Source organism: Homo sapiens, chromosome 5, assembly GCF_000001405.40.
Source record: "Homo sapiens chromosome 5, GRCh38.p14 Primary Assembly".
NCBI classification, from domain to species: domain Eukaryota; kingdom Metazoa; phylum Chordata; class Mammalia; order Primates; family Hominidae; genus Homo; species Homo sapiens.
Genome location: NC_000005.10, coordinates 149317138 through 149344253, shown reverse-complemented (window position 1 = coordinate 149344253; position 27116 = coordinate 149317138). Strand labels below are relative to the sequence as shown.

Here is a 27116-nt window from a genome sequence, read left to right as displayed (position 1 = left end):
GTAATGACTAGGAAAGAGCAGAGACCAGATTTCTTCCCTCTCAATTACTGATGTTTGTAATAGACAGCCTCCTTTATTGTCCTGCACCTAACTCAGACTAGATGGTGCCCTGAACTGAACTGACCCCATGACAGTTACATCTGCAGGATGTGATGTTAAATGTACCTTTCTTGAAGGAAAAAGACCACCTTAACTACTCAGATCATTGTAACTGTGCATTAAGCCTTGCATAGAAAGATGTTGAAATTCTGTTAAACCTCACTGAACCCAACCTTTCACACTTTGGAACACTGACTTCCATCTTTTTTAAGACAGACATATTTTTCCATTCTGTGCTTCCTGGGCAGGCCATCCTCAACCTTTGTGCTTGAATAAACTCTCTTTAAACTAGATTCTGACCTTTTAAATTATTTTAGATTGACAGGGAACATGTGACAAAGGCTTTCATGTTTAAAGAGTCACTTTGACTGCTGTGTGAAGCAGATTGCAAGGTGTAAGAAAAGAGGTAGGGAAGGCAATATGTTGCAGTAGCCCAGGCAAGATGGGGCTATATTCTGTCCTGGAAGAACAGAGAGAGACCTTCCTAACCACTGTAAAGTAACTGTGTCCAGCACCCTTTTAGTTTCTTAGTATTTTATTTCTTTTGCTTCCTTGTTAAGGTTTTTTCCTCCAACTAGAATGTGAGCTTCATGAGGTGTCTGTCTTGTTCACCACTGATTTCTGACATCTAGTATAGTAGGTACTCAAGTATTTGTTGAATGACTTAATTAAGTTGGATAGTGTCAGTGAAGATAGGAAGATATGGATGAATTTTAGAGATTTAGGATGGAAAGCTGACAGACTGAGAGGATGGATTGGTGACTGGGGTCCAGGGCACTTGGAGTTGCCAGCTTAGTTACTGGATAGTCCCTTAATTTTTTTTTTTAAGGGAATGGGAAGTGTTCCTTGAGCACTCTGAATCTTGTCATAACATGGGTTATTTGTACTGTAGTTATTTGGGTCACATTTTCTTTCCTGCTTGTCTCTGAGTTCCATGAGGACAGAGCTGGAGTATTTTCATCTTTTTATCTAATCCGAGGTCCAACTCAAATGTGTCATGACCAATAACTTATATTTTCTTTTTGGCCTTATGAAAAGGGTGATATGGTTTAGGGAGGTATTATGATTCTCTTTTACATATGAGAAAATTGAGGCTCAGAAAGGTTGGTAAACCTATGCAAGATCCCGCAATAAGGAAACAGTGACAGTAGAATTCTGACAGACTGAACACTTGGCAGTGTTGGGCTTAGACCTGTGGCTTACACTTTGAAAAAACACAACCAAATAAGGCATTTTTTTTTTTTTGAGATGGAGTCTTGCTATTGCCCAGGCTGGAGTGCAGTGGTGCGATCTCGGCTCACTGCAACCTCCACCTCCCGGGTTCAAGTGATTCTCCTCCCTCAGCCTCCCAAGTAGCTGGGACTACCGGCATGTGCCACCGTGCCCAGCTAACTTTTGTATTTTTGATAGAGATGGGGTTTTGCCATGTTGGCCAGGCTGGTCTTGAACTCCTGACCTCAAGTGATCCACCCGCTTCGGCCTCCCAAAGTGCTGGGATTACAGGCATGAGCCACCATACCTGGCCTAAACAAGGCATTTTAACAACCAAGAACAAGTGGCATCTGTGCCTTAGCCATTTTGCTTACATTTCTCCTAGCTGCCTAACGTTCACCAGGTTGCTGCTTGCATCCATGCATTCATTCGTCTATTTATTAAGTGCTAGTGTGCTTCTGAATGTTGCAGTACAAGGGGAGGGAGATATATGGATGACATAGAGCTTTAAAATTAAGAATAAGGCTCTAGGGTCAGACTTCTTATATTCACATGCTGGCTCCACCAGCATGTAAATATAAGAACTATGGGAGCTTGGACAAGTTACCTGACCTCTGTGAGCTTCCATTTCCTGAACTGTGAAAACTAGGGCAATATAACTTATCTCAGGGTTTCAGTGAAAACTAAAGGGATAATACCTAGAAAAGTGGTTAGTTAGCACCAGGACTGGCTATCTAATTTAAAGGGCAAAAGGAAAAGCAGAACTCCTTGTTCAAATATGATTAAGAAGGCAATAGTAGAGCATTAAACCAAGAACAGGGCCCTTCTAAGCATGGGGCCCTGTGTGACTGCACAGGTTGCATGCCTGTGAAGCTGGCCATGGCTGACACAGTGCCTGACATATGGTGAGTGCTTGATAAATGTTAATTATTAATTACCCCCAGCCACTCCTCTGAGAGTTCATCTGTTGGTGAGAAAAGACACTTAACCCCAAAATAACTGCATAAGAAAGAGTATGACAGACACTGAAGACATAGTTGGAGAGTTAGGTGACATTTCAGGATCCACGTTTTAAAAAAGAACACTGAAAAGTAATTTCCTCTTCAGTGGAAAGAACACAGGCTTGTGAGTCAGACATTTCTGATATAGCTAATAATAGCCACTTTTTTTTTTTAATAGATGGGGTCTTGCTATTTGCTTAGGCTGGAGTGCAGTGGCAATTCACAGGCGTGATCATAGTGCACTACAGTCTCAAACTCCTGGGCTCAAGCGGTCCTCCTGCCTCAGCCTCCTGAGTAGCTGGGACTACAGGCGAGTACCACCATGCCTGGCTAATGAGAGCCACTATTGACTGAGCATTTCTTATTTCTCAGACACTATGCAAGATGCCTACTATATATTATCTTATTAAATCTTCCCAACAATCTTGGGAGAAAAGTAACAATTGTTAGTCCCATTTCACAGATAAGGAAAACAAGAATCAGAGCAATCAAGTGACTTTCCCAAGGTCACCCAGCTGGTCATTAGAGGCATGGCTCAAACCTAGCCCTATCTGGATCTGGGCTTATAACCCCTAAGTCCTACGCTCTGCCACTAATCAGTGGGTGATTACTGGTCAGGTTATTTTTCCTGCTGTGGTCTCCAGCTACCTCAGAGGGTGATAAAGTTTGAGTGAGGCTAAAGTCTGTAAAACCTTAGGTGGGTTAAAATATGTAACCCCTATAGCAAAGTGGCCACGGTTATTCTGGGATTTTCCTTCTTTCCTCTTGAGCTAAGCACTGGCACTTAAGAGTTAAGTGGTTTTATCTTTATTGGAAGGAAATGTGTTAAAGACAGACTCACTACAGTGTTGAGACAGTAGTGAGTAGCACAGTAAGGAGACTGCCCAGGACTTGAGGTCCTTGGTCCCTCTATAGAAGTATCAAGTGTTTGTAAAAGGTTTAGCACCCATGTGACAGAAAGAAGCCATCATCCTCTTAATTTCTCTTGGTTTTACTTAATATATAGAAGGGCAAACTAGTGGGCCTCTGAGTGCAAGATGAGGACTTCATTAGAATAAAGACATATTGCCTCCTGGATTTCTAACCCATAGCTCCAAGAGCCTCAGTGTCAGAACATAGGTAAGGGACTTGATTTACTGAGAGACCCTACCCTACAACATCCTGTGGACATTAGAGCTCTGTGCTCCTGTCACTGAGTATCACTGTGAGCTTAAAATATGTCAGCTGCTCCATTTCTCTTTCCTTTTGTGTATTCAGAGCTCTGATTTTAAAACACTGAAATCTGGAAGATTCCAGTAGCTGCACTCTGTCTAAAGCATATGAGGAATGACTGTAGAATTTGCATGTCCTCTATAGCTTTTGTTCACATGTATGCAGGCAGGGATAATGTTATTGATTGTTCAACCTATTTACCTTGACCAGGGGTTGTTAGTAATGCCCAATATGAATCAAGTTGGCACAAGTGTGATCAGATGATCAGGTCTTGTCTCTTTACACTGCACCACCAATGCTTCAGCACTGCCTCCCTTTGCCTTAAGGACTGGGAGTGCGATGCTGTGAATGGGATGGAAGGGGTTATTCACATGTGCTTTCATTACTTCTTCCCTTCCTCAGAAGGGAAGGCAAAGACATCTATAAAACCTTTACAGCTGTGCAGACTTCTGTATCCCTCCATCCTCATTTCCACCCTTTGTAAAGTCATAAGGATGCTCTCCATTTCCCTCTTCCCTTCTACTTGTTCCCTCCCCATATCCCCTAAAATCATGCAGACAATAAAGGCTGGTATTTTGGGTGCCCTGGAGAACGAGGGCTACTTCCTAGTCTTCTCTTGGTGTCTCCTTGTGAAAAAAGCATTTCTTCCTCAGGTGGACAAGCTGGTATTTCCTTTGGAATGAAATCCTCATCCTCTTCCTAGGTCTTCTTCATTTCCCATTCCTGAAGCACAGAAAGAGAAGACAAATCAATTTGCTGAATGGTCTAGTGTGACATGGATAAAGAGATTTCACGGCACCTAGTTAGATGAAGATCTCCACTAGCCAGGTTGCGTTGGGTTCTAACCCCCTCTCTCTCTTTCTGTGGCCCTGAGTAAGTCACTTCTCCATGCTGGTATCTCTTGTCCCTTCATCCATTCTCAACATAGTTGCCTGAATGGTCTTTAAAAAATGTAATTTATATCCAAAACCCTTTGCTCAAAACCTTCCATCATGTCACAACAAGATCCATTATGTTAGAACAAGATCCATGGTTCCTCAGTGGCCTGAAAGGCTTTAGATGAAAGGCTGGTAAATGATAGTCTGTGGGCCAAGTCTGGCCTATTGTCCATTCTCATATAATCCATCAGCTCCTATTTCTAAATGTTTGGAAAAAAAAATCAAAAGAAGACGACTATCTCATGACACATGAAAATGATACGAAATTCAAATTTCAGTGCCTGTAAATAAGTTTTATTGGGCTAGGTGCCGTGGCTCATGCCTGTAATCCCAGCACTTTGGGAGGCCGAGGTGGGCGGATCACGAGGTCAGGAGTTCGAGACCAACCTGACCAACATGGTGAAACCCCCCGTCTCTACTAAAAATACAAAAAAATTAGCCGAGTGTGGTGTTGTGCACCTGTAATCCCAGCTACACAGGAGGCTAAGGCAGGAGAATTGCTTGAACCTGGGAGGTGGAGGTTGCAGTGGTTGCAGTGAGCCAAGATCATACCACTGCACTCCAGCCTGGGTGACAGAGCGAGACTCCGTCTCAAAAAAAAAAAAAAAAAAAAGCTTTATTGGGACACAGCCATTTTCATCATCATTTTCATATTGTCCATGGCTATTTTCATGCGACAATGGCAGAGTTGAGAGGCTGTGGAACAGATCATATGGTTCAGAAAGCCTAAACTATTTACTCTCTGGCCCTTTACAGAAAAAGTTTGCTGACTGCTGCTCTAGATGATCTGGCCCCTCACTGGTTACTTCTCTGATCTCATCTCCTAATGCTCACTCTTTGTTCCTTTCACTGGAATCACCTGGATCTTCTTGATGTTCCTCAAACATGCCAAGCTTTTTCCCACTTCAGGGACTTGACACTTGCTCTTCTCTCTGCCTGGTTCGTCCTTCCCTCAGCCCCCTGCATGGGTTTCTCCCTCACACTCCATTCAGGTCTCTGCCTATGTGTCACCTTCTTGAAAGGGTCTTTGCTATCACTGTGCTTAAGCCCCTTTGGGACGTTCATCTTCTCTGGCATCACATTCTTTATTTATGTGTGGTATTTAAAGTCTTGTCTTCCCAACTCTATGAGACCAGGGACTTTTTTGGGTTCCCTGTTATGTAACCAGAAACTAGAACAAGACTGGCATATGGTAGGTCTTCAACAAATATTTGTTTAATGACTAACTGTAGGAAAGAATAAAGACTCTTCCCTCTTAGGCTCTGAAATTCAATTCCAACCTGAGGATGCAGCTCCAGCCTAGACATAGAGCCATGCTTTTTTTGAGACAGGGTCTCACTTAGTGTCATCTAGGCTGGAGTGCAGTGGTGTGATCAGGGCTCACTGTAGCCTCACCCCTCCCACTGGGCTCAAGTGATCCTCCCACCTCAGCCTATGGAGTAGCTGGGACTATAGGCATGTGCCACCACACCCGGCTAATTTTTTTGTAGTTTTTGTAGACACAGGGTTTCGCCATGTTGCCCAGGCTGATCTCGAACTCCTGGGTTCAAGGATCCTCCCACCTCAGCCACCCAAAGTGCTAGGATTACAGGTGTGAGCCACTGTGCCTGGCCAAGCCATGCATTTTAAAAGTCCGTGCTGGTGTGATCCTAGACAAAATGTTGCCGATTCCCACAGCAGTGTTGATATGAAGCTAATAAACAGCTGTCCTTTAAATGTATTCTAATATGATATGCAATTTCAGCTCATAAATGATCAGGCACTGCCTGCCTCTTCCCCCTTCATGGTTTCCACGCTCGCTTTCCCTCTTTGCTCCAGCTGCTCTGGCCTCCATCTGGCCATCAGGCACGCTTGAGAGCTTTTGCACCTGCTGTCCCCTCTTGCTGGAAAGCTTCTGCTCTAGATCTTCTCATGTTCCTTTCCCATCATTTGGGTCACTGCTAGGAGAGGCCCTCTCTGACCACTGTGTATATTGCTCCAACCCTACTCCCAGTCTCTGTCCCTTTCTATATATATGTATATATATATGTATATATTTGTAGTTGTATCACTTTCTGGAATTATCTTCTTACATTAACAGGGCACTTATGTATTATCTGTCTCCTTTCACTGGCTTGGAAGTTCCTTGAAAACCAGGACCTCATCTGTCTTGTTCACTGGTTTATCTACCACTTAAACTTCAGTCTTCTCCGCTGTGAAATGGGGCTAAGAATGCCCACTTTACTTGGTTATTGCAAAGATGGAATGAAGGAACATGTTCAAGAGTGTTTAGTGAAGTGTCAAGCATTTAGCAGGTGCTTAATATGTGTTTCTTGAATGAACGAAATTGGAGTTTTCCACTACTTTAAATAGGGTGTTCCCCCTTTTATTATGTTTCTAATTTGAACTATTTTTTTGATTTGACATATTGTGAAATGATTATCACAGTCAAGTTTAGTTAACACATCTCACCTCACCTAGTTATCATTTGTGTGTGTGTGTGTGGTGAGAACAGTAAAAAGTGACTTTTTAAAACAAATTTCGAGTATGCAATATGGTATTGTTAACTGTAGCCATGATTCTGTACATTAGATCCCCAGAACTTAGTCTTCTTAAAACTGAAACTTTGTATCCTTTGACCAACATCTCCCCAGTTCCCCCAGCCCTCAGCCTCTGGCAACCACCATTCCATTCTCCCCCTTTTATTTTAAATTAATAAAGATTAATTTTATATTTTCATATTTAAAAAAGAGATTGTTCCTTGAAAACTCATCAGTCTCCACATTTCTTAGCTTGGAATTTAGGTCCTTCTATATCAAACTGTCTTTCCAGTCTCATCTCCTACCAGTTTTTCAGACATTCTGTGCTGCTGCCAGACAGGTCTAGAAAGGCTTCCTGAGCATATCTGATGTGCCTGGCATTTGTTTTTCAGGTCCTGCTATGATTGGAATGTCTGTCCCTCCAAAACTGATGTTGAAATTTAATCCCTAATGTGGCAGTATTGAGAGGTGCAGCCTTTAAGAGGTGATTGGGTCATGAGGGCTCTATCTTCATGAATATGGATTAATCCGTTCATGGATAAAGGCATTAATGAGTTAATGCATTAATGGGTTATCATGGGAGTGGAACTGGTGGCTTTATAAAAAGAGGAAGAGAGACCTGAGCTAACATGTTCAGCCCCCTCACCCTGTGATGCCCTGGGCCGCCTCCAGACTGCAGAGAGACCCCATCAGCAAGAAGGCCCTTGCCAGATATGGCCCGTCAACCTGAGACTTCTCGGCCTCCCAAACTCTTAAGAAATACATTCTGTTTCTTTATAAATGATCCAGGTTCAGGTATTCTGTTATAAGCAGCAAAAAATGGACCAGGACAGGTCCACACTTTTATCTGCAATTCTGAAATCCAGAAAGCTGTGAAACCAAAATATTTCTCCATTGTTTTGGTATAGACTCATTTGGTGGCAAAACTTGACCTGACCTGATATGACTGTTTATAATCTTTATTCACTCCATGTGCTATATATATTCCTATGTCTTGCCGTAGAATTATTAACATGTTTGCTTACATGGTACCACCTGAGGACATATTGAGGTTTTCATCATGTGTTAGTGTAGGTACCATATTACCTTTATAAAATCCAAAAAGTTCTGAAACACAGCTGACCCCCAAGAGTCACACAGAAGGGACTGTGGACCAGCATCCTGGAGGGAGCCATGGACTTAGAATTGGAAGAGGTGGGTTTGCTTCTTTGCTTTTGCAGTGATACCTTGCATAGCCCTGGGCAAGTCCCATCGTCCTCGATTTTCAGTTACCTCATCAATGAAATGGAACCTGTCCTGTCTGAAAACACATTGTAGGCTCAGAAACCAGATGATTAAGCTTGTTAGAAATATGTGTTAACAAAGAGTGAATAGGTTCTGAATAAGATCTGAGGATTACCCCTTCTGAGGAAGGTTCATGAGTTTCATTGTATAAATGCATTGGCAATTCTCTACCTTTCTCACTAGTTGATTTTTTGGTTTTGGGTGAAGTTCCATAGAAAGGGGGCTACCAGATCTCTGATTTTTGAGGAGCAGAACTATGGCTCTACCTTGGCTTTCTGTAGCACCCTTCCTTGGTTGGAGGCTACGATGGATGGGCTCCTCTTCCTCAGCTCAGAAACACAGTTGACAGGGAGAGGTTGCTCTGGAACGCTGTTCTGGGGTTTATTTGCAGTTTCCTGTTGATGGCAATAAATAATTATATAGGTGAGATCTGGTGATGGCTACCTACACACCCAGCCTGCCCTCAAAAGCATGAGGACACTTTATTATTTTTATTTTTATTTTTGAGACAGAGTCTCTGTCACCCAGGCGGGAGCGCAGTGGCACGAGCTTGGCTCACTGCAACCTCTGCCTCCTGGGTTCAAGCGATTCTTATACCTCAGCCTCTCGAGTAGCTGGGATTACAGGTGTGTACCACCAGGCCTGGCTAATTTTTGTATTTTTAGTAGAGATGGGGTTTCACTAAGTTGCCCAGGCTGGTCTCAAACTCCTGGGCTGAAGCAATCCACCCACCTTGGCCTCCCAAAGTGCTGGGATTACAGGTGTGAGCTACTGTGCCTGGCTGCATGAGGAACTTTAAAATAAAAGGCACCTGGCAAACATGACAGCATTGAACAAGGTGAGAGAAGATACTTGAGGACCTTCAGATAACGATAATGACAACTAAAATTACTGAACCTCACTACGTACAAAGCATTGTGTGAATTAGCTCCTTTAGCTTTTCAACAAGCCTATGAAGTAGGTACTATTATTAGTCATTCCATTTTATAGGTGAGGAAATGGGGAAGGTCAAATTACTGTGCAAGGTCATGTGGCTAGTGAGTGGGAGAACCAGGATTCCAATCCCATAGCCCTTTCTTTCTTTCTTTCCTTTCTTTCTTTTTTTTTTGTAAGACAGAGTCTTGCTCTCTTGCCAAGGCTGGAGGTCCACCTTCCAGGTTCAAGTGATTCTCTTGCCTCAGCCTCCGGAGTAGCTGGGACAGGCATGTGCCACCATGCCCAATTAATTTTTGCGTTTTTAGTAGAGATGGGGTTTCACCATGTTGGCCAGGCTGGTTTCGAACTCCTGGCCTCAAGTGATCTGCCCATCTCAGCCTCCCAAAGTGCTGGGATTATAGGCATGAGTTACCATGCCTGGCCCCACAGCCTGACTTTTAACCTCTCTCCTGTATTCCTTCTCATTTTTGAAATTAACTTTACCCCTTACATTTTTCCAGATAATTGCTTAGTATTAATATCTTACTAGATGTAGCTCCTTAAGGGTGACATCTTAACAGCTAAACCTGCAAGGAATTTAGAGAAAGCTTCTCTTTATCTCCAAAGAATGTTAAAAGGATCCAAAACCCAGGGAGAAGTGCTCTGGAATGGGAATATCAGGTCATGCTGGTGGGAGGAAGCAGCTGGGATGAATGAACTAGTGCTAGCTCCTCCACCAGCCCTCTGTGACTCTGGGAAGTTGTTTTGTCCTTGGCTGTCATGTTTTTCATCTATACAATGAGGTTGGAAACACCCCATGGAAAGGAAGTGTAGGGATGTAAGACACAGCACTGGCTCAATCAGGTGTGGTGTGACCAGGAAATGTGACCTGGGACAACAATAATAATGACACATTGCCTCCTGACAAGTCATACTTAACAGACAAGTTATTTCATCTCTTTGAGTCTCAATTTCCTCACCCGAAAGCAGGCAAAACATTTATTCATTTGACAAATATTTCTTATACTCCTACTATTTTTCTGTAAAGGGTCTGGAATGTAATGATAAACAAATGGATGTAGTCCAATTCTTAACAAAAATACAATCTAGTGGAGAAGACAGACATTGGACAAGCAAGGACACAAATATATATACACACACACATACACACAAATTGTGGTTAAGTGCTATGAGGAAGAATAATAGAGGCAGCTGTTGGTAATTTAGACCAACCAGGGTCAGTTTTTTGCTCTCCCGAGGGACATCTGGCAATTTCTGGAGATATTTTGGTTGTCACTGGAAGGGAGGTGCTACTGGCAACCAGTGAGTACAAGCTAGAGATGCTGCTTAACATCCTACTTGATATCCTTAGGTAGGACCTTAACATCCCTAACATCCTGCTGGTGCACAGAATAGTCCCTTATAAGAAAGAATTACTGGTCCAAAATGTCAGTAGTGTTGGGGTTGAGAAGCGCTGGTGTAGATGAGGTCAGAGAAGTTCTCTCTGAGAGAGCACCATTGGAGGTGAGCGTATCTTCCTCAGAGAGTTGCTGGGAGAATTAGAGATAATGGATGCAGAGCCCTGAGGACAGGGCCTGGTACCCTGGAGATCTCAGGAGAGGGCATGTGAGACCGCTGTATTTTTTGTAGAGACAGGGTTTTGCCATGTTGCCCTGGAGGGCTCTGGAGCAGGGCTCTGGAGTTAGACTTCCTGGGTTTGGAATCCCGTCTCCCACTTCATGGAGTGACCTTGAGCAAGTCATTCGACATCTCTGAACCTTAGCTTCCTTGTCTGTCAACCCCTAAACTACCTCATAGGACTGCCATGAAGATTGTGTGAGATAATACAGGTTAAGATGCCTATAGTAATGGATCACACATGTTTGTTATTCAATGTATGCTGGCTACTATTATCATCAATAACTCCAAGGCCATTTCTAAGATCACCTTTAGGGTAAAAAGTCAAATGGTGCTGCTGTTGTGGAGACAAGAACAGGCCAGAAACCAAGAGAAATTGCTCCAAGAGTCCTCTTCCTAGCTGTGCCACCCATGGCATGCCCTTCACCTCTTTGGACTTCAGTTTTCTTGTCTGTAAGTGGGCATAACCCCTACCTCCAAAGAATGATCATGAAGAAGAGATCTGTAGTGAGTGGAGGGACATAGGAGTAGCTGCCCCTGGCATGGAAGGGCCTGGACTCACCCCACTCTTGGGCTTGCTGCTCACGGAGAGCCCCAGGGCTGGCCCTCCTGCCAGGGACTGCTGCAAGCGCTCCTTCACAGCCACCAGCTTCAGCTCCAGGTCAATCCGGCGCTCCTCCTTTGCCCGACACTGAGCTTCCAGGGTGGCCACGGCTTCTTCCAGAGCCTTTAATTTTGCTCCTGAATCAAGAGACATTGATAAGAAAAAGCTGAACCTGACCTGAAATGTCAGGGAATCTGGCAGGGCCTCAGGCCTTTGTCTGCCCCTCCTAGAGGGCCCTTCCAGCCCCCAGTCTTGGTTAAGAGATGGACTCTGGGTTTGGGGTTCCAGCTCCATACTAGGATTCCAGCTCCATAATGAGATGAGGTCTCATTATGTTCTTCATATGTCTGGTTCCTATTTCACCATCTCCTGGAAATAGCACTCTGAGTTTTCGTTGGGAAACCACCTTCCCCCTCTCATTCTGTCTTTTTTTTTTGAGACGGAGTCTCGCTCTGTCGCCCAGGGTGGAGTGCAGTGGGTGATCTCAGCTCACTGCAACCTCCGCCTCCTGGGATCAAGTGATCCTCCTGCCTCAGCCTCCCAAGTAGCTGGGACTACAGGCACACGCCAGCACACCCAGCTAATTTTTGTATTTTTAGTAGAGATGGGGTTTTGCCATGTTGGCCAGGCTAGTCTCAAACTGCTGATCTCAAGTAATCCACCAGCCTTGGCCTCCCAAAGTGCTGGGATTACAGGCATGAGCCACTGCACCTGCCCCACTACCCCCATTCTCTTTAGTTTGAGTGGGGCTGACTCTACTTCTAGTTCCAGGGTTTGGCACATAACTTAGGTCTGCCCCATAATCACAACTCATCTTCTGGTGACAGTGATTGGATTAGGGATGAAAGTCGGACCAATCAGAGTGAATCCAGAGGGCTCTGCGGTGGTCATTGGGAGGAGAAGCTCTCTCTGCTTGGGTTGGCTGGGAGGGCTGGCACTGTGCAGCCATTGTGGCATCACAAGGGAAGAATGAAACCAAAGGAGAGAAGGGTAGAAGCATGAGTGTGAGAAATAAGCTTCCTGGTGACATCATTTAAGTCCCTGGACCCCACTACACCAGATCGCTCAATTTTCCAATTACATCTTCTTTCATTTCTCTGCCAGTTTAGCTTTGGTTTCTGTTACTTGTAAACAAGTGTCATAGCAGGGCTTTACAGACACCAGAGTTTTCAGTAGGATTTGCTGCTTATTCAATTTTTTTTTTTTTTTCTTGAGACGGAGTCTCGCTCTGTCACCCAGGCTGGAGTGCAGTGGCGTGATCTTGGCTCACTGCAAGCTCTGCCTCCTGGGTTTATGCCATTCTCCTGCCTCAGCCTCCTGAGTAGCTGGGACTACAGGCACCCGCCGCCACACCCGGCTAATGTTTTGTATTTTTAATAGAGACGGGGTTTCACCGTGTTAGCCAGGATGGTCTCGATCTCCTGACCTTGTGATCTGCCCACCTCAGCCTCCCAAAGTGCTGGGATTACAGGCGTGAGCCACCGCACCCAGCCTCAATTTATTTTTATTTTTAAATTTTCTTTAAAAATTTTTAAAAAATTTTCTTTCTTTTAGAAAAATAGAGATGAAGTCTCATTATGTTGCTCAGGCTGGTGTCGAACTCCTGCACTCAAACAGGCCTCCTGCCTCGGCTTCCCAAAGTGCCAGGATTACAGGCATGAACCACGGCACCCAGCCCACTTTTTTGATTTAATCTAACAAACCTATATTAGTACCTTTCTCATGCCAAGTGCTGTGTTGGGTCTTACCAGGTTTAAAAATCAGTTCCATTCTTTGCCCTGAGGGAGGCTGTGCCGGAGGGTTTTCCAGTAATGTTGAACTCTTTATATTCACCATTCACCATGTATTTAATGCATGGTGCAAAATTTAAAAAAAAATTTTAATGCAAAAATTAAAAAAAAATTTTTTTTAAAAATGCTTACCATGTATCAGGCATTGTCCTTGGCCCTAGATATATCAGTGAACAAAGCAGGCAAAGATCCTTGCCCTTATGGTGCTTATATTTGTGTGTCTGTGGCAAACAATAAATAATAAATATAATAAATAATCTGATATGTTACACAGTGGTAGTGCCATAGGGGAAAAAATTGAGCAGGACAAGGAGAGTCAACTTGCTCCAAATCCTGGTTCTGACTCTCAGAAAATTCTTTATATGGAAACCAAACTGCCTTCCTGTGCCTTCCTCCTATTGATTCTGGTTCTTGGCCACACAGAACAAGTCTTCTCCTTTAAACCAGAAGTTCTTAATCTGAGGTTCATGGAGTCTTAGGCAATCTATGGATAGGCTCCACAGGCAGCCACATGAGCTCCTGAACTTTTTTTTGCAGCATTGTGAACTGTGGTGTTTCTTCTTAGGAAAGCGTCCATAGGTCCACCAGATTCTCATAGGGCTACATGTTTGTGGACATGTTATATAGAAACAGGACTTCTGCTCCCTCCAGCATGTGAAGAAACCTTAGGCTTAAAGTGTGTCAAACTACAGTTAGAGAGAATGCAAAGGAAACACAGCAGAAAATAGGGTGTGGAGAAGCCCAAAGCAGGCAGGGCCTGCTGAGGTCCCTGGGTTTCAGAAGAGGATCCTGGGAAAGTGTCATGTCCATTATTCCCTGCACTAGGACCAATGTCTCACATATATCTGTGAATGAATGAAGGTGCGGTTCAAAATGACATCTCTTATTTCCTTGATTCTAAGGCACACTTCTGTGCTTCATATTTCTAAAATCAGGTTGCTTCTTACTACATTAAGTGTATACATTATTGTGATGCTTTTTCATCCTCCAAAACAAGTTATTAAATTGATGGCACTTTCTTTAATTGGGAGGAATGATGATGATAATGATGAAGAGGAGAAGAAGAGGAGGAGGAGGAGAAGGAGGAGGGGAGGAGAAGCCCACTTCTCTTGGGTAAGAAACCAGGTGACTTGTGCAAGAGACCTCCCTTTACTGTACCCAAGGATGAGCTGGCCACCCATAGGTGCTCAGGACCACACCCACATAGGTACCTGGGCTGCTCCGAATGGCTTCCTTCAGTTCCCTCTTCTCCTGTCTCAGTGCTATCAGCTCTGTCCGAATCGTCTCTTTCTCTTTCTCCAGCTTCTCTTTTTCTACCAAGTACCTCCGGGCATCCTCCTCGGCTCGGTTCTTGCCATACTTGTATTGATTGGCACCTGCAGAGATATGGGGAAGGGAAAGGCCCTCAGTTCTGACCTCTGGCAAAGGTACTTGTGTGGTGTCAGCTTCTCTTTCAGCCCCAACTTCTCCATCTATGAAATGGAAATATTTAGACCTAGTCCCTTAGATATATTTAGTGTGAATCCTCTAAGGAAATAAGAAGCAAAAGGGAGGCCACAGGGCACACGGACTAGGAGCAAGGCCTTGGAACAGACAGTCTGAGATTTGGGCATTTTTGACCTTCAGCTGGTCAAAGGTTGTGTGACATTAGGCAAAAGTGACTGGTAGTGTGACATTGGTTGTGTGACATTAGGCATAAGTGACTGGTAGTGTTCTTCTGTGCCTTTCCCCCTTGACCTTAGTTTCCTTATTTGTAAATAAGGATACAGATACAATTTACCTCATAGAGTTGTGGTAAGGGTTAAATGAGATGATTAATGAAAAGCACTTAGTATAGTACCTGGCAAATAGTAAGGGTTAGATAATAATGATAATATTATTAAAAAACAAATTTGTGATGTAGAACATACTTTGGTTTTAAAAGAGCATATTTTATAGTCAGTTTTCAGATATCTATAAGTCAAGGAGACTGTTCCATGTAACTCAGATCTCCAGAGATTCTAGACTTTGGACTACAGTCAGGCATTGTCCATTTTATTACTGGGGAAGGGGTTGGGGGAGCGAGGAACCTGGTGTTCTACTGCAGGTTCAACACTATGATGGACAATAAAAACAAATAATTATGGCAAAAATTATTTATTATTTACTACACACAAGGAACTATATGCTGAGCCATTCACTTGCATTTCCACTTAGTCATCATGAAACTTATTTTTTTTATTTATTTTGAGACAGAGTCTCGCTCTGTCACCCAGGCTGAAGTGCAGTGGCGTGATCTCAGCTCACTGCAACCTCCACCTCTGGGGTTCAAGCGATTCTCCTGCCTCAGCCTCCCGAGTAGAGTAGCTGGGACTACAGGTGCCCGCCACCATGCCTGGCTAATTTTTGTATTTTTAGTAGAGATGGGGTTTCGCCATGTTGGTCAGGCTGTTCTCGAACTCCTGACCTCAAGTGATCAGCCTGCCTCAGCCTCCCAAAGTGCTGGGATTACAGGAGTGAGCCACTGCGCCCAGCCCACAAAACTTACTGTAATTAATTTTCTTTTATTGTTGAGGAAACTGAGGCACACAGAGGTTAGGTCCCACTGCTAATGGTGGCAGAGCCGAGGTTAAACCCATGTCTCCATGTCTCTCTGACTCCAGGGTCCATGCTGTGCAATACTGCTCTAGCTGGGCCAAGGCCATAGTTCAACCTCTTAGGGAAAGTTTTACTTTTTTTTTTGTGCGCTATACAGAGGCGCACACAGCTTTATATAAGTCGGTGCAGAATAATTCCTGCAGTTTATGGATAATTGGGGGTCTTGTCTAGCCAGCTGCTGCAGGGATTGCAGTGGTCACCCAGTGACCCATGCAAAAATCTGTTCCTGACACAACTACCTGCAGTTCAAGCCTGATCATAAATACAGCATGGAGGGCCTTCTGGCTTTCATTGTTACTGATGAGAAGTCAGCTGTTAATGTTACTGGGGTTCTCTTATACATGATGACCTGATTTTCTCTTCTGCCTTCAAGATTTTTTCCTTGTCTTTGGTATTAGCATTTTTACCATGATGTCTCTTTTGTAGATCTCCTTGCCTTTATCTTACTTGGATTTCACTGAGCTTCGTGGATGTATAGATTAATGTTTTTCAATAAATTTGGCAAGTTTCAGCCATTATTTGAATATTTTTTATGCTCATCTGTCTGTCTCTCTCTCTCTTCTCCTTCTAGTACTCCCTCTACACATATGTTTGTGCACTTAATGGTGTTCCACAATCCTCTGAGGCTCTGTCATTTTTCTTCATTCTTTTTTTCTCTTTGTTCTTGGTTTGCATAATCTCTATTTTTCTGTCATCAAGTTCACTGATTCTTCTACCAGGCCAAATTTACTGTTGTGCCCATTGAGTGAGTTTTTCGTTTCAGTTATTGTACTTTTCAGCCTCATGATTTTTATTTGGTTCTTCTTTTTATAATTTCTATCTTTCTATTGGAGGCCCCATCAATATATTATCAATAATATATTCCATATGACTATACTATATAGTATAGTATAATATAGTAAGCATATAGCTATATTCCATATAACTGTAGTGTAGTTCCATATACGTATACTGTAGTGTACAGTCTAGTGTAGTGTAGTACTCAGTATAGTCTATTTCCTCCTGCAGTATGAAGCCAATTTCTCTAGAACAATGAGAAATACATTTCTGTTGTTTATAAGTTACCCAGCTTATGGAAGTTTGTTATAGCAGGAGGAATGAGCTATTATCAATAATATATTGATAGAGACTACCAATAATATAGGCTATCAATAATACAGACTATCTGTTAATACACTGTCATCTTCTGTTCCTTTATTTCTTTAAGCATGGTTTCCTTAAGTTCTTTAAATATATTTATAATGGCTGCTTTGAAATCTTTGTTAAATTCTACATTTGGGCCCTCTCTCAGGCAGTTTCTGTTGCTTGATTTTTTTCCTTCTGTATGGGTCACATTTTCCTGCTTCTTCATGTGTGTCATAAATTTTTGTTGAAAACTGGTCATTTTCGAGAATATATTGTAGTATCTTTTGATATGCATCCCCCCAACCGGGTTGTTGGGTTGTTATTTTCTTATTTGTTTAGTGACTTGTCTGAACTATTTTATTGTAGTCTACTTCCTCTTGAAGTATGAAGCCACTGATGTTGCTCCTCAGAGGCCATAGCCTTGGCATGTGTACAGTCACTCTGGGGTGACAGCGTATTAGCAGGGATTTCTGACTCTTTTCCTAATCTCCTGTTAAGCAGTCGGCCTCTGTTGCTATTACACCCAGCTCTACTAATTGTCAGGTGTTTGCTCTATTGATTTTGACAATGCATCAATTACTCCACAGCCTGATCCAATTAAATTCAGCCCCTTTACAGGATAGTTCTGGAGGCCCATCTTTGAGATTTGTTCTAACCCTAGGAGGGCTCTTTTTATTTTAAAAAATTTCTTTTTAAATATATATATATTTTTCTTTCTTTTTTTTTTTTTTTTTATTTTTGGCGACAGGGTCTCACTCTGTCGCCCAGGCTGGAGTGCAGTGGCACCATCAGGGCTCACTGCAACCTCTGCCTCTTGGGTTCAAGCGATTCTTGTGCCTCAGCCTCCCGAGTAGCTGGGATTACAGGTGCCCGCCACCATGCCTGGCTAATTTTTGTATTTTTAGTAAAGACAGGCTTTTGCCATGTTGGCTAGGCTTGTCTTGAACTCCTGGCCTCAAGTGATCCACCTGCCTCAGCCTCCCAAAGTGTTGGGATGACAAGGGTGAGCCATCACGCCCGGCTGAGGGCAATTTTAGCTGTCTCTTTCTGTGGTTCTCTCTGATAAACTAGCCTGTGGTTTAGTTTATTGTTCTCATAACCACCAAATCTCCATTGTTTTTGAGAGCACCCTTTGGTTTACACTTTCCCACACTCTGTTCCAACTAAAGTCAGTTCTTTCGAGGAAGAGCTTTGGAGTTCTCTGTTCTTATGGCCTGCCTTTCCCCACTCGGCAAAATCTCTGAGTCACTGCTCTGGATCCAGGGGTGGGAACAATGGCCTGTGCTGTGGTTTGAATGTTCGTACCCTCCAAAACTCATAATGAAATTTAACTGCAATTGTAACAGTATGAAAAGATGGGACTTTGAGAGGTGATTTAGGCCATGAGGGCTTTGCCTTCATGGATGGGATTAATGCCATTAAAAGAGAGCAAATTCAACCCCCTTTTGCCTCTTTGCCCTTCCATTTTCTGCCATGTGATGATGCAGCAAGAAGGCCCTTGCTAGATGTCAACACCTTGATCTTGGATTTTCCAGCCTCCAGACTAGGAGCTAATAATTTCTGTTCATTATAAATTACTCAGTCTCTGTTATTCTGTTATAGCAGCACAAAACAAATTAAGAGCCTGTTTCTCTTGGAGTGACATTCCTGTTATGAGCAGGGTGCTGGGTGGGGGCAGTAACCTCTGGTCTACTCTGCTTGCCTCTCCCAGCATGGAACCTCTGCCTTACAAGTGAGCTAGGATGAGGGCAATCAGGGCCCCAGTATTCTTGGCTTACCCTACCTGGGGCAAAGCCTTTGCTCTATCATCTGGGTAGAGGAAGGGAGCTTCCTACCTCTTGGCTGCAATCACCTAGAATTTAGCCTCTACAGCATGGAGCTGGGTATGACAAAAAATACTGGCAGCCTGCCCTTCCTGGGGAGATACTGTAGCCCTTGACTGGCAGCTGGGGGAAGAAGGAGCCCTGTTTTCTTGTCCAGACATGCCTGGAGTGAAGATTCTTTCAAACTGAGTTGGGGAATAAAGGGGTAGGTTGTGGCTCAAATGCCACAAACTCTCACTGTTCTTACTAAGATTTAGCAAATTTTCTAGAGTAAATGTTTCTTCATTTGCCCTTAGGAAAATTTCCAGACTTTAAGTAATTGTTTGTTTTAATAAATTTCACCAGCTACTGCTGTTTTGCTAGGGAGTGGGTCCATGCAGCTTCTCACGCCACCATTTTTCTCAGCAATCATCTACTTGGCCTCCATGATTCTTGCTTCCTGATATTCATGCCCTTTTATAGTCCCCTCCCACACTAAACAGTGCTGACCTGTGTAACCATTAGGATATTGGAGAATGACAGAGTGTAACTTCTAACCATAGGTCATAAAAGACCTTGCAGCATCAGCCTTGCTGTTCCTTCTTGGGTTGCTTGCTCTGGGGGAAGCCAGCTGTCACATCACAAGGATAAGCAACTCTATGAAGAAATCCCCATGGCAAAGAACTGAGGCCTCCTTCCAACAACCAGCACAAACTTGCCAGGCATGCAGTGAGCCATCTTAGAAGTGGATCCTTCAGCCTGTCAAGCCTTTAGGTGACTTCAGATGACCGGCCAACGTCTTGAGATCTCATGAGAGACCCCAAGCCAGAACTATCTATCCAAGCCATTTGGAGATTCTTGACCCACAGAAACCGTGTGACATAACACATGTTCCTGCTTATTGTTTAGAGGAGCTAAATTTTGGGTAATTTCTTATGTAGCAATAGGCAATTAATACATGATCGTGGGCAAAATCCTTTGGCTATAGACTAGATGTTTACATCCCCCAAAATTCATATGTTGAAACCTAATCCCCTTCGAGATGGCACTTGGAGGTGGGGCCTTTGGTAGGTGATTAGGTCACGAGGGTGGAGCCCTCATGGGTAGGATTAGTGCCCTTAGGAAAGAGACCCCAGGGAGCAAAAAGATGGTCATCACCAGGAAACAGGCCCTCACCAGACACCAAATTGGCTGCCACCTTGATCTCAGACTTCCCAGCCTCCAGAACAATGAGAAATAAATTTCTGTTATTTATAAGTTCCCCAGCTTATGGGATTTTGTTATAGCAGGAGAAATGGACTAAGATATCTTCCCTTTTATTTTCTTCAGTTTCTTCATCTAAAAAACAACCTTGTTGGAATTCATCAGTAGTTTTCCACTGTGGTTTCCCACTGCCCTTCAAGGAAGCTTATGACCCCACAGTGATGGCTAACAGGAAAAGTGGAGGCCAAGTGGGCCTCAACCAGAGTAGCTCCACTTTTATTTTTCTTTTATAAACTGGGCTTTCATATAAGATTTGATTTGAAGAAAGGGTCTGCTTTTTTGTGTGTGTTTGTTAGTTTTTTGTTGTTGTCGTTGACATTCGGTGATTTCTTTAATCTTACATGCTTTTTTCAGTTTAGATTTCCATTTTAAAATGGGCATTTCACAAGGCCCTGCATTTCCAGTGCCTCTGAGAGTAGAGTGCAAAGTTACACAACAACCTTCTGATTGTTCAGAGAGGAAACTCAGGCCCAGAGAGGGGAAAGGACTTTTCCCAGAGGTACACAGTAATTCAGTAGTCAAGGGAGGAATGAGGAATGGAATACAGATTTCCTGACCCTCAGAAGGGATGATCTATACAAATGAAATGGAGCTATAATACAGAAAAGTATTTTTTAAAAATAGGTATTAAAAAATAAAAGTAGATTTTCAAAAAGCACAGAACAGAACTTGACTCTGTTGAGATGCAGGGGGAAGAAATGTAAAGGAACAAAGAAAAAACTTTTGGAACATGCTGTCCCACAGGAAGCTGGCTTGTTCATAAAGATAAATCACACAGAAGCACAGATTACTGTTGGAAGTAAAAGAGAATTTACAACAGAGTTGCCTGGTGTACTTAGTCATTATTGTGCAGTGTGGTAATCAGGCAATTCACTGAGCTCCTGGGGGGTGCTAGGCAGAGCTAGGGTGGGACACCAAGGTGAGCTGTGGCTTTCATGGGAGCTGGCTCCAGGGTATTTGGATAGGTTCAGTTCTCCACTTACTACCCCAGTTCAGAAATCACAAATTGTTAGCCTCTGAAACAGATACAGCTTGTCATCAATCTCTCTCTCTCTATTTGGCCTCATTTGGTGCTAAATTAAAAAAAAATAGTTGCTGATATTAAAAAATAAGTAGACTTCACCTAAATTCTAGATTTCTGGCCTCTTTTAAGTAATTGGCAAATCTGGTGTTAGGGGCCTGGTACTGCTGCATAGGGATCATCTGCTGGAGCTGAGCAGCAGCCTCCCCTATAGTTGGGACCTGAGAAAACTGGGTACCGGTTTCCTACAGTACCTCCCCACCCCCCAACTCCCTGTCATTTTCCCTCTGAGGCCACATGCTAGCTGCCCTTTATCATTGTGCTTGCTCTGTGATTTTTCTTACGGTAGAGTATTTTCTTGCATCTCACTTTGCTCATTTATTTACCCACCAGGGAAACTGATTTTGAGATCCCTCCTATAGACTGCTTCCTTTCCTTCCTCCCTAGTCAGCAGGGGAGGCCCACACACAACTCACTGGAGGCGTGGCGTTTGACTTTGACCTGCGGGTCCACACGATGGGACTTCTCACTGCAGGAGGAGGCGTGACGCTTCACCTGGGCCCCTGTGGGGCGCTCGGGCTCCTCGTCCTGGTGGGAGATGGAGGAAGACAGTCAAGTTCAGGCAGGCGCAGACTCATCAATGCAGGGTGTATTGCGGTCTTTGCTCAGTATGGAGTCTTCTTGCTCTGAGATCTTGGTCTTACATTTTTAGACTTGCATAGCACTCAAAAATCATAAAGCACTTTTGCTAGCAGTATATCATTTGAACCTCATACCTTTCTGCTGGGGGGCAGCAGAAGGCAACCCTAAACTGCAGCACCTGCTGAGAGGAAAATTAGAAAGTCTCAAAAGACTGTGGGTGGCTATATTTGATTTATCATCGATACTTTTGTCTTTAGAACATTTGGAAGTATCCTGATTTTCTGAATTGCCTCAAAAAGAAAACAGTCTTCCCTCAAGAAGAAAAGTCCTGGATGAGATGAGCCAGTGATAGAAGTGACATAACTTAATAGATTAACTATACATTTGTGCATGAAGAATATTAAGAATACTAAAAATCCAGTGAAAGCTTAGGAAACCATGAGTTAAATATGATAATAATGTAATATAATAATGATGTTGTCAACAACAGTACTATCTACTTCTCTGTATAGGACCTTCCAATGTCTAGGCACTGTCCTAATTTCTTTTTTTGAGTGCAGCGGTGTGATGATGGCTGACTGCAGCCTCAACCTCCTGGACTCAAGTGATCCTCCCACCTCAGCCTCCCGAGTAGTTGGGACAACAGATGTGCATCACCATGCCCAGCTAATTTTTGTAGAGACAGGGTTTTGCCATGTTGGCCAGGCTGGTCTCAAACTCCTGGGCTTAAGTGATCCACCCACCTCAGCTTCCTATAAGTGCTAGGATTATAGGTGTGAGCCACTGCGCCCAGCCTAAACGTTGTTTTTTTTTTTTTTTTTTTTTTTTTGAGACAGAGTCTCGCTCTGTTGCCCAGGCTGGAGTTCAGTGGCATAATCTTGGCTCACTTCCACCTCCTTGGTTCAAGCGATCCTCCTGCCTCAGCCTCTCGAGTAGCTAGGACCATAGGCACATGCCACTGTGCCTGGCTAATTTTTGTAGTTTTTAAGTAGAGACGAGGTTTCACCATGTTGGCCAGGCTGGACTTGAGCTCCTGGCCTCAAGTGATCCACCCACCTCAGCCTCCCAAAGTACTGGGATTATAGGCATGAGCCACGGCACCCAGACCCCGCCTAAACTTTTTTACATAAAGTATTATTTAATTCTTGCAGTTATCCAAGAAGGTAGGTTTTATCATATCCTTTTGGAGTCAGGAAGTGAAGACCAGCAGCCCTGAGTCTGACTCAAACTTCACATCCTTAAGTGCTAAGCTGTCTTGCCACTAAACTCTGCAACTGAGAAAAACCTCAAGCTGCATCCACAGGTTTATCTGAGTCTGAAGAAAGACCATATGAACAGAAGGATGACTGGACAAATTTCTAGAAAAGAGAGTCCTAGAGGTGAAAACTCAGTGTGTCATGCAGCACTGTCCAAGACAGAGGTCCTGTCTGCAGACACATCTGTTGTCCTCGGCAGCTTAATTGCCTCTCTCTCCTGCTAACTGTGAGGCCTGACCCACCCACCAGCGTCTGATTGGAATGTGGCTCTCCTCTTGCTTTCTGAGGGAGGAGACAGCACAGGGCATGCTGCCAGGAGCATTCCAGGTCATGTGATGGCTACACAGGCCTCACTGTAAATCAGTAAGCTGGTATCTCCCTGGCTTAGCAAGCAAAACATGGAGACTGGCCTGGGAGCTGAAGCTCCCAGATCACAAAGTCACCAGGTGAAGGCTTGCGGGGTGGTCCCAGAGTCAGGACCTGCCCCAGACACCACGGAATCAGCAGGATAAGTTCACAGAGTGGTAAACAGGAGGAGGGCCCCAGCAACTTGCTCAAACCGGAGACGATGCCTCACCTTTTGGTAGTGTTTGGGAGTCTGCACAGCCCTTTCTTCCTCCCAACCTGGGTCTCTTTCCACCACACCACCCAGCCTCCTGTGCCAGGGATTCCTCATCCTGAGCCATGCTCTATGATAAGAAGGGGCTCCCCTTCTAGCTACTGCTGCTTAAATGAAAATGATCTTTCTGAGGCAGAAGGTAAAGGGAGCAGAAAGAGGGAGAGCTAATAAGTGGCCTTTGCCACATTCCTGGGCAGCCCCAAGGGACTGTACCTGCATCTTTTCATAAGGAACATCATCATAGACTCGGGGCTCAGGCCACTGATTCTGGCAGGATCTTGCATATCTAGAAAATAAAATGTACGATGACAATGACAATGACAATGATGCTTTGCAGCTTACAGTGCTTTCGTGTCCTCACTCTCATTGATTCTGGCAGAAACTCTTAAGGCAGATCAGAAGATTGGTAAAAGCAAGATGGCAGGCAGCATTGTGTCATGGGCTGTGTTAGGGCGTCACAGACAGGACCAATGTGATTCTCATAACAACCTGCAAGGCAGGTAATTCATCACCACCATTCTATGAGTCAGAAAACAGAGATCCGAGATGGCAAGCAACCAGTGCAAGCTTCCACTGCTGGTGGTGACTGAGCTGGGACTCGAACTTGGCTCTTCTAGTACCAAATGCCATATACTAGCCACGTGCCCATGCTCCAGTGTGTGAAAGCTTAAAGTCCCATGACATGAGGGCAGAGCCCAGGCCACTACTCCAAGGCTTCTCTACTTTTGCTCCTTCCATCCACAGCTTGCCTCTGACTCTGGGCTACTTCCTTCAGCCAGCTCCCCACTCTTTGCTGGAAGAGGAAGACACTCATTCCAGCTTACCAAGGAAGCGGAGCTTTCCTTAGCTCCTCCCTTCCCTCCCAGTGCCCAGGGCTGGACTCAGCCTCTGAGAGGGATGGAGACAGGAAAGGTCCTGGGCAGGTGTGGCCAGTGCAGCTGACACTTACAGGAAGGAGTTGCGCCCAGCACTGACGATGCTGGTTAAGGTCTCCACATCCACGTAGTCATAGTGCAGCGCCTCCGGAGTGACTCTGGAGCCCATCTCCACCAGCAGCAGCCCGAGCCAGCGACCCATGTCCTCTGAACAGCTTGCCTGAAGGACAGGAGGCAAAGATGGAGTTCATTTTCCTACTGTCAGGGCTCCTGGAGACCTGTTGACTTCAGCCAAACCCAGAAATATTTGTAAGTACTGACTACGTACCCGATACTCGGGTCAAAGAGGAATAAGATTATAGCACACATCCAGAAATCCAAGAGGCTCCCTTCTTCCATCTATTCAGGTTTCCAATCAAATGTCACCTCCTCAGGGAGGCCCTCCCTGATGACCTCTCTAAGACAGAGGCCTCCCTGCCCTCACTTTCCATTCTCAGAGCCTTCCCCAACCATTAGAATATAAAACCAACATTTGGGTGTTCTCTGAATTTTTTAAAAAATATTTACTTTTTATTAGAAGAGGCCATTTCTCATATAACTTAATCAAAATAGTTTCTTGTGTTATAGTTGCCAAATAAGTACAATACTGTGTATAGGAAAATCTCCAAGAAGTTGCCAGTCAGCTAAACACGGACTTATGTTAATTCTCATTTAAAGAGCATCTTATAAAATTAAATTAGCACACAAATGCTAAACTTGAATACATAAAGCACACTTTTTGCCAGAAACCTTCGTGTATAAGATAAATAAGAGACCTATCTCAAACTACCAAAAATAAAAGTGAGTTACGGAGGCGATATTTTTTGAAATTTAAGAACTGAGAGAGGCAGGGGGTCTTGGGCAGAAAACAAGACCAAGAGGTCAGATTCTAGGACAAGACTAAGAGACCACTGGCCCTCTGTGGACCCCTGGATAAAGCATGTGGCTGCCCTGGCCTCAGTTTCCTTATCTGTAATGGCAGAAGGTAGTTTTCTGTTTTCCTGTAGTGTTAACATTTTAAATTCTAAATTGCCAAAGGGTTGCCATGTGGAAGAGAGAGTCCACGTATTCTGCATGACCTCAGAGAGGAGGCTAGTGCCCGTGAGTAAGAAGGACAGTGAATCGGTGAAATGAAATCACACTTCATTCACTCATTTGTTCAACAAATATTTCTAGAGCCCATAGTATTCTAGTGCTGGACATCATGCTGAGTTCTGGAAAAACAAAAGTATGCAGAATAGGCCTAATTATTGCCTTCCTGGAGCTTAAAGATTTCAACTCAGTATGGGGAAAATCTTTCTAAAATTTGAATTGCTCAATGGGAGGGGCAGTGGACCTTCTCCTCCACCAGAGGAGGGTACTGGTGAAAAGTCTTAGAGGGGATTCCAGAATCTGAATGGTTAGACCAGACTAAATGCCTTTCAGGCTTGGGATTTTAAGGTAAGGGAGAAAAAACAAACCTTGGTTCTGGGGCTGCCAGATTTAGTGAATAAAAATACAGAATGTTTTGTTTAATTTGAATGTCAGATGAACAATGAATAATATTTTAGTATCAATAAAGCTCCAATGTTGCGTGGGACATGCCTATTTTATTATGAAAACATTTCAGGTAATGTTCGTGGCTTACCTGAAATTCAAATTAAGTGGGTGTCCTGTGTGTTGTCTTATAATCTACTTGGGTCACCTGACAGGAGTGAGGCTTGCTTTCCTTCCCCTTCAGTCCCCATGGTGTCAGTAGCAAGGGCTCCCCCAAACAAAAACATGACACTCAGGCCAGAGTCCCCAGACCAAGAGCCACCCACGTCCCACCCTCTCCTCTCACCTCCAAGATGGCCACCTCCTGCCGGTTGCGCAGGATCCTGAAGGCAAATGGGTGTCGGGGCCCAAAGCCCGGGGCCACCTCACAGCCTTGCAGGGCGATGGCGTTCACATGGGTTCGCAGGTCCATGTGATCCTTGTGGAAATACAGAGTGTTGCACTTCAGGCGGCACCAGCGTTCCTTCCAGCCCTGGTTCACCAGCACGTTCAGGTAGCCTGGAGGAGACAATGGTGTGAGGTTCCCATAGCCTGCCCTGGGACAGCATGGGGACGCAAGGCGGCTCCATGTGTCTGCTGGAAAGAAGGCCTCGGGGTCCTGGTCAGCTCTCTTTCCCCTGTGACCTCAGGGTGACCTTGGGTGTGCATTTCTCTGAGTTTGTTTCTTAGCTGTGAAACATGGACTGATAATGGCATTCCTACATCTCTGCACAGCCTTTGGGCCACACCAACCTTGATGAAAAGGGCAGGAACTACTGCATATGGTGTATAAAAAACACAACTCTTTTGCCTTTTCTCCCCAAATCAAAACTGTTACTGAAAGATGGAAAAGAATGGATGATGCTGACACCCAGTGGCAGCATGTGGGAACAAAAATGTCTCACCCACATAATCTTAAAATTGACCAAGGCACAGCTGCTGTGTAGCTAATGACCCACAGGTTTAGAATTCCCTCTTAATGTTTTAGATTTAAATTTGCCTATTTTTACCATAACGCACTCTGATTCACTAATTACAAAATATTTCTTTGTAGCCATATATTTATTTATGTATTTATTTTTTGAGACTGGGTCTCCCTCTGTCAGCCAG

The 27116-nt window shown here is 44.1% G+C and overlaps 1 protein-coding gene and 1 long non-coding RNA gene across 6 annotated transcripts in view, besides 4 other annotated features; one reads left to right on the top strand and one right to left on the bottom strand.

Moving 5' to 3' along the window:
* Positions 1-616: 616 nt before the first annotated feature.
* AFAP1L1 (actin filament associated protein 1 like 1) overlaps positions 617-27116 on the bottom strand; it is a 71779-nt gene continuing 45279 nt past the window's right edge. For 4 of the 5 annotated variants that reach the window (XM_047416723.1, NM_152406.4, NM_001323062.2 and 1 more), the window contains 8 exons: positions 26314-26525; positions 24527-24672; positions 23791-23863; positions 21537-21648; positions 14424-14588; positions 11381-11559; positions 8532-8660; positions 617-4247 (listed from right to left, as the gene is read on the bottom strand). In XM_047416723.1, the coding sequence (XP_047272679.1) occupies positions 4224-4247; positions 8532-8660; positions 11381-11559; positions 14424-14588; positions 21537-21648; positions 23791-23863; positions 24527-24672; positions 26314-26525 (1040 nt within the window). In that variant the 3' untranslated portion in view covers positions 617-4223. The remainder of the gene's footprint in view (positions 4248-8531; positions 8661-11380; positions 11560-14423; positions 14589-21536; positions 21649-23790; positions 23864-24526; positions 24673-26313; positions 26526-27116) is intronic. The other variant, NM_001146337.3, reaches the window with a different exon arrangement.
* Positions 14112-20033, top strand: LOC124901103 (uncharacterized). The gene is made up of 2 exons (XR_007058989.1): positions 14112-14325; positions 19340-20033. It is a non-coding gene; the product is annotated as an uncharacterized LOC124901103 (long non-coding RNA).
* Positions 21088-21613: an enhancer, noted in NCBI's record as "H3K4me1 hESC enhancer chr5:148702204-148702729 (GRCh37/hg19 assembly coordinates)". NCBI's record gives its function as "activates a minimal SCP1, AML or CMV promoter by ChIP-STARR-seq in primed H9 embryonic stem cells {active_cell/tissue: H9 hESC(primed)}" and the evidence as "EXISTENCE:reporter gene assay evidence [ECO:0000049][PMID:30033119]".
* Positions 21614-22140: an enhancer, noted in NCBI's record as "H3K4me1 hESC enhancer chr5:148701677-148702203 (GRCh37/hg19 assembly coordinates)". NCBI's record gives its function as "activates a minimal SCP1, AML or CMV promoter by ChIP-STARR-seq in primed H9 embryonic stem cells {active_cell/tissue: H9 hESC(primed)}" and the evidence as "EXISTENCE:reporter gene assay evidence [ECO:0000049][PMID:30033119]".
* Positions 25930-26482: an enhancer, noted in NCBI's record as "H3K27ac-H3K4me1 hESC enhancer chr5:148697335-148697887 (GRCh37/hg19 assembly coordinates)". NCBI's record gives its function as "activates a minimal SCP1, AML or CMV promoter by ChIP-STARR-seq in naive and primed H9 embryonic stem cells {active_cell/tissue: H9 hESC(naive and primed)}" and the evidence as "EXISTENCE:reporter gene assay evidence [ECO:0000049][PMID:30033119]".
* Positions 26483-27037: an enhancer, noted in NCBI's record as "H3K27ac-H3K4me1 hESC enhancer chr5:148696780-148697334 (GRCh37/hg19 assembly coordinates)". NCBI's record gives its function as "activates a minimal SCP1, AML or CMV promoter by ChIP-STARR-seq in primed H9 embryonic stem cells {active_cell/tissue: H9 hESC(primed)}" and the evidence as "EXISTENCE:reporter gene assay evidence [ECO:0000049][PMID:30033119]".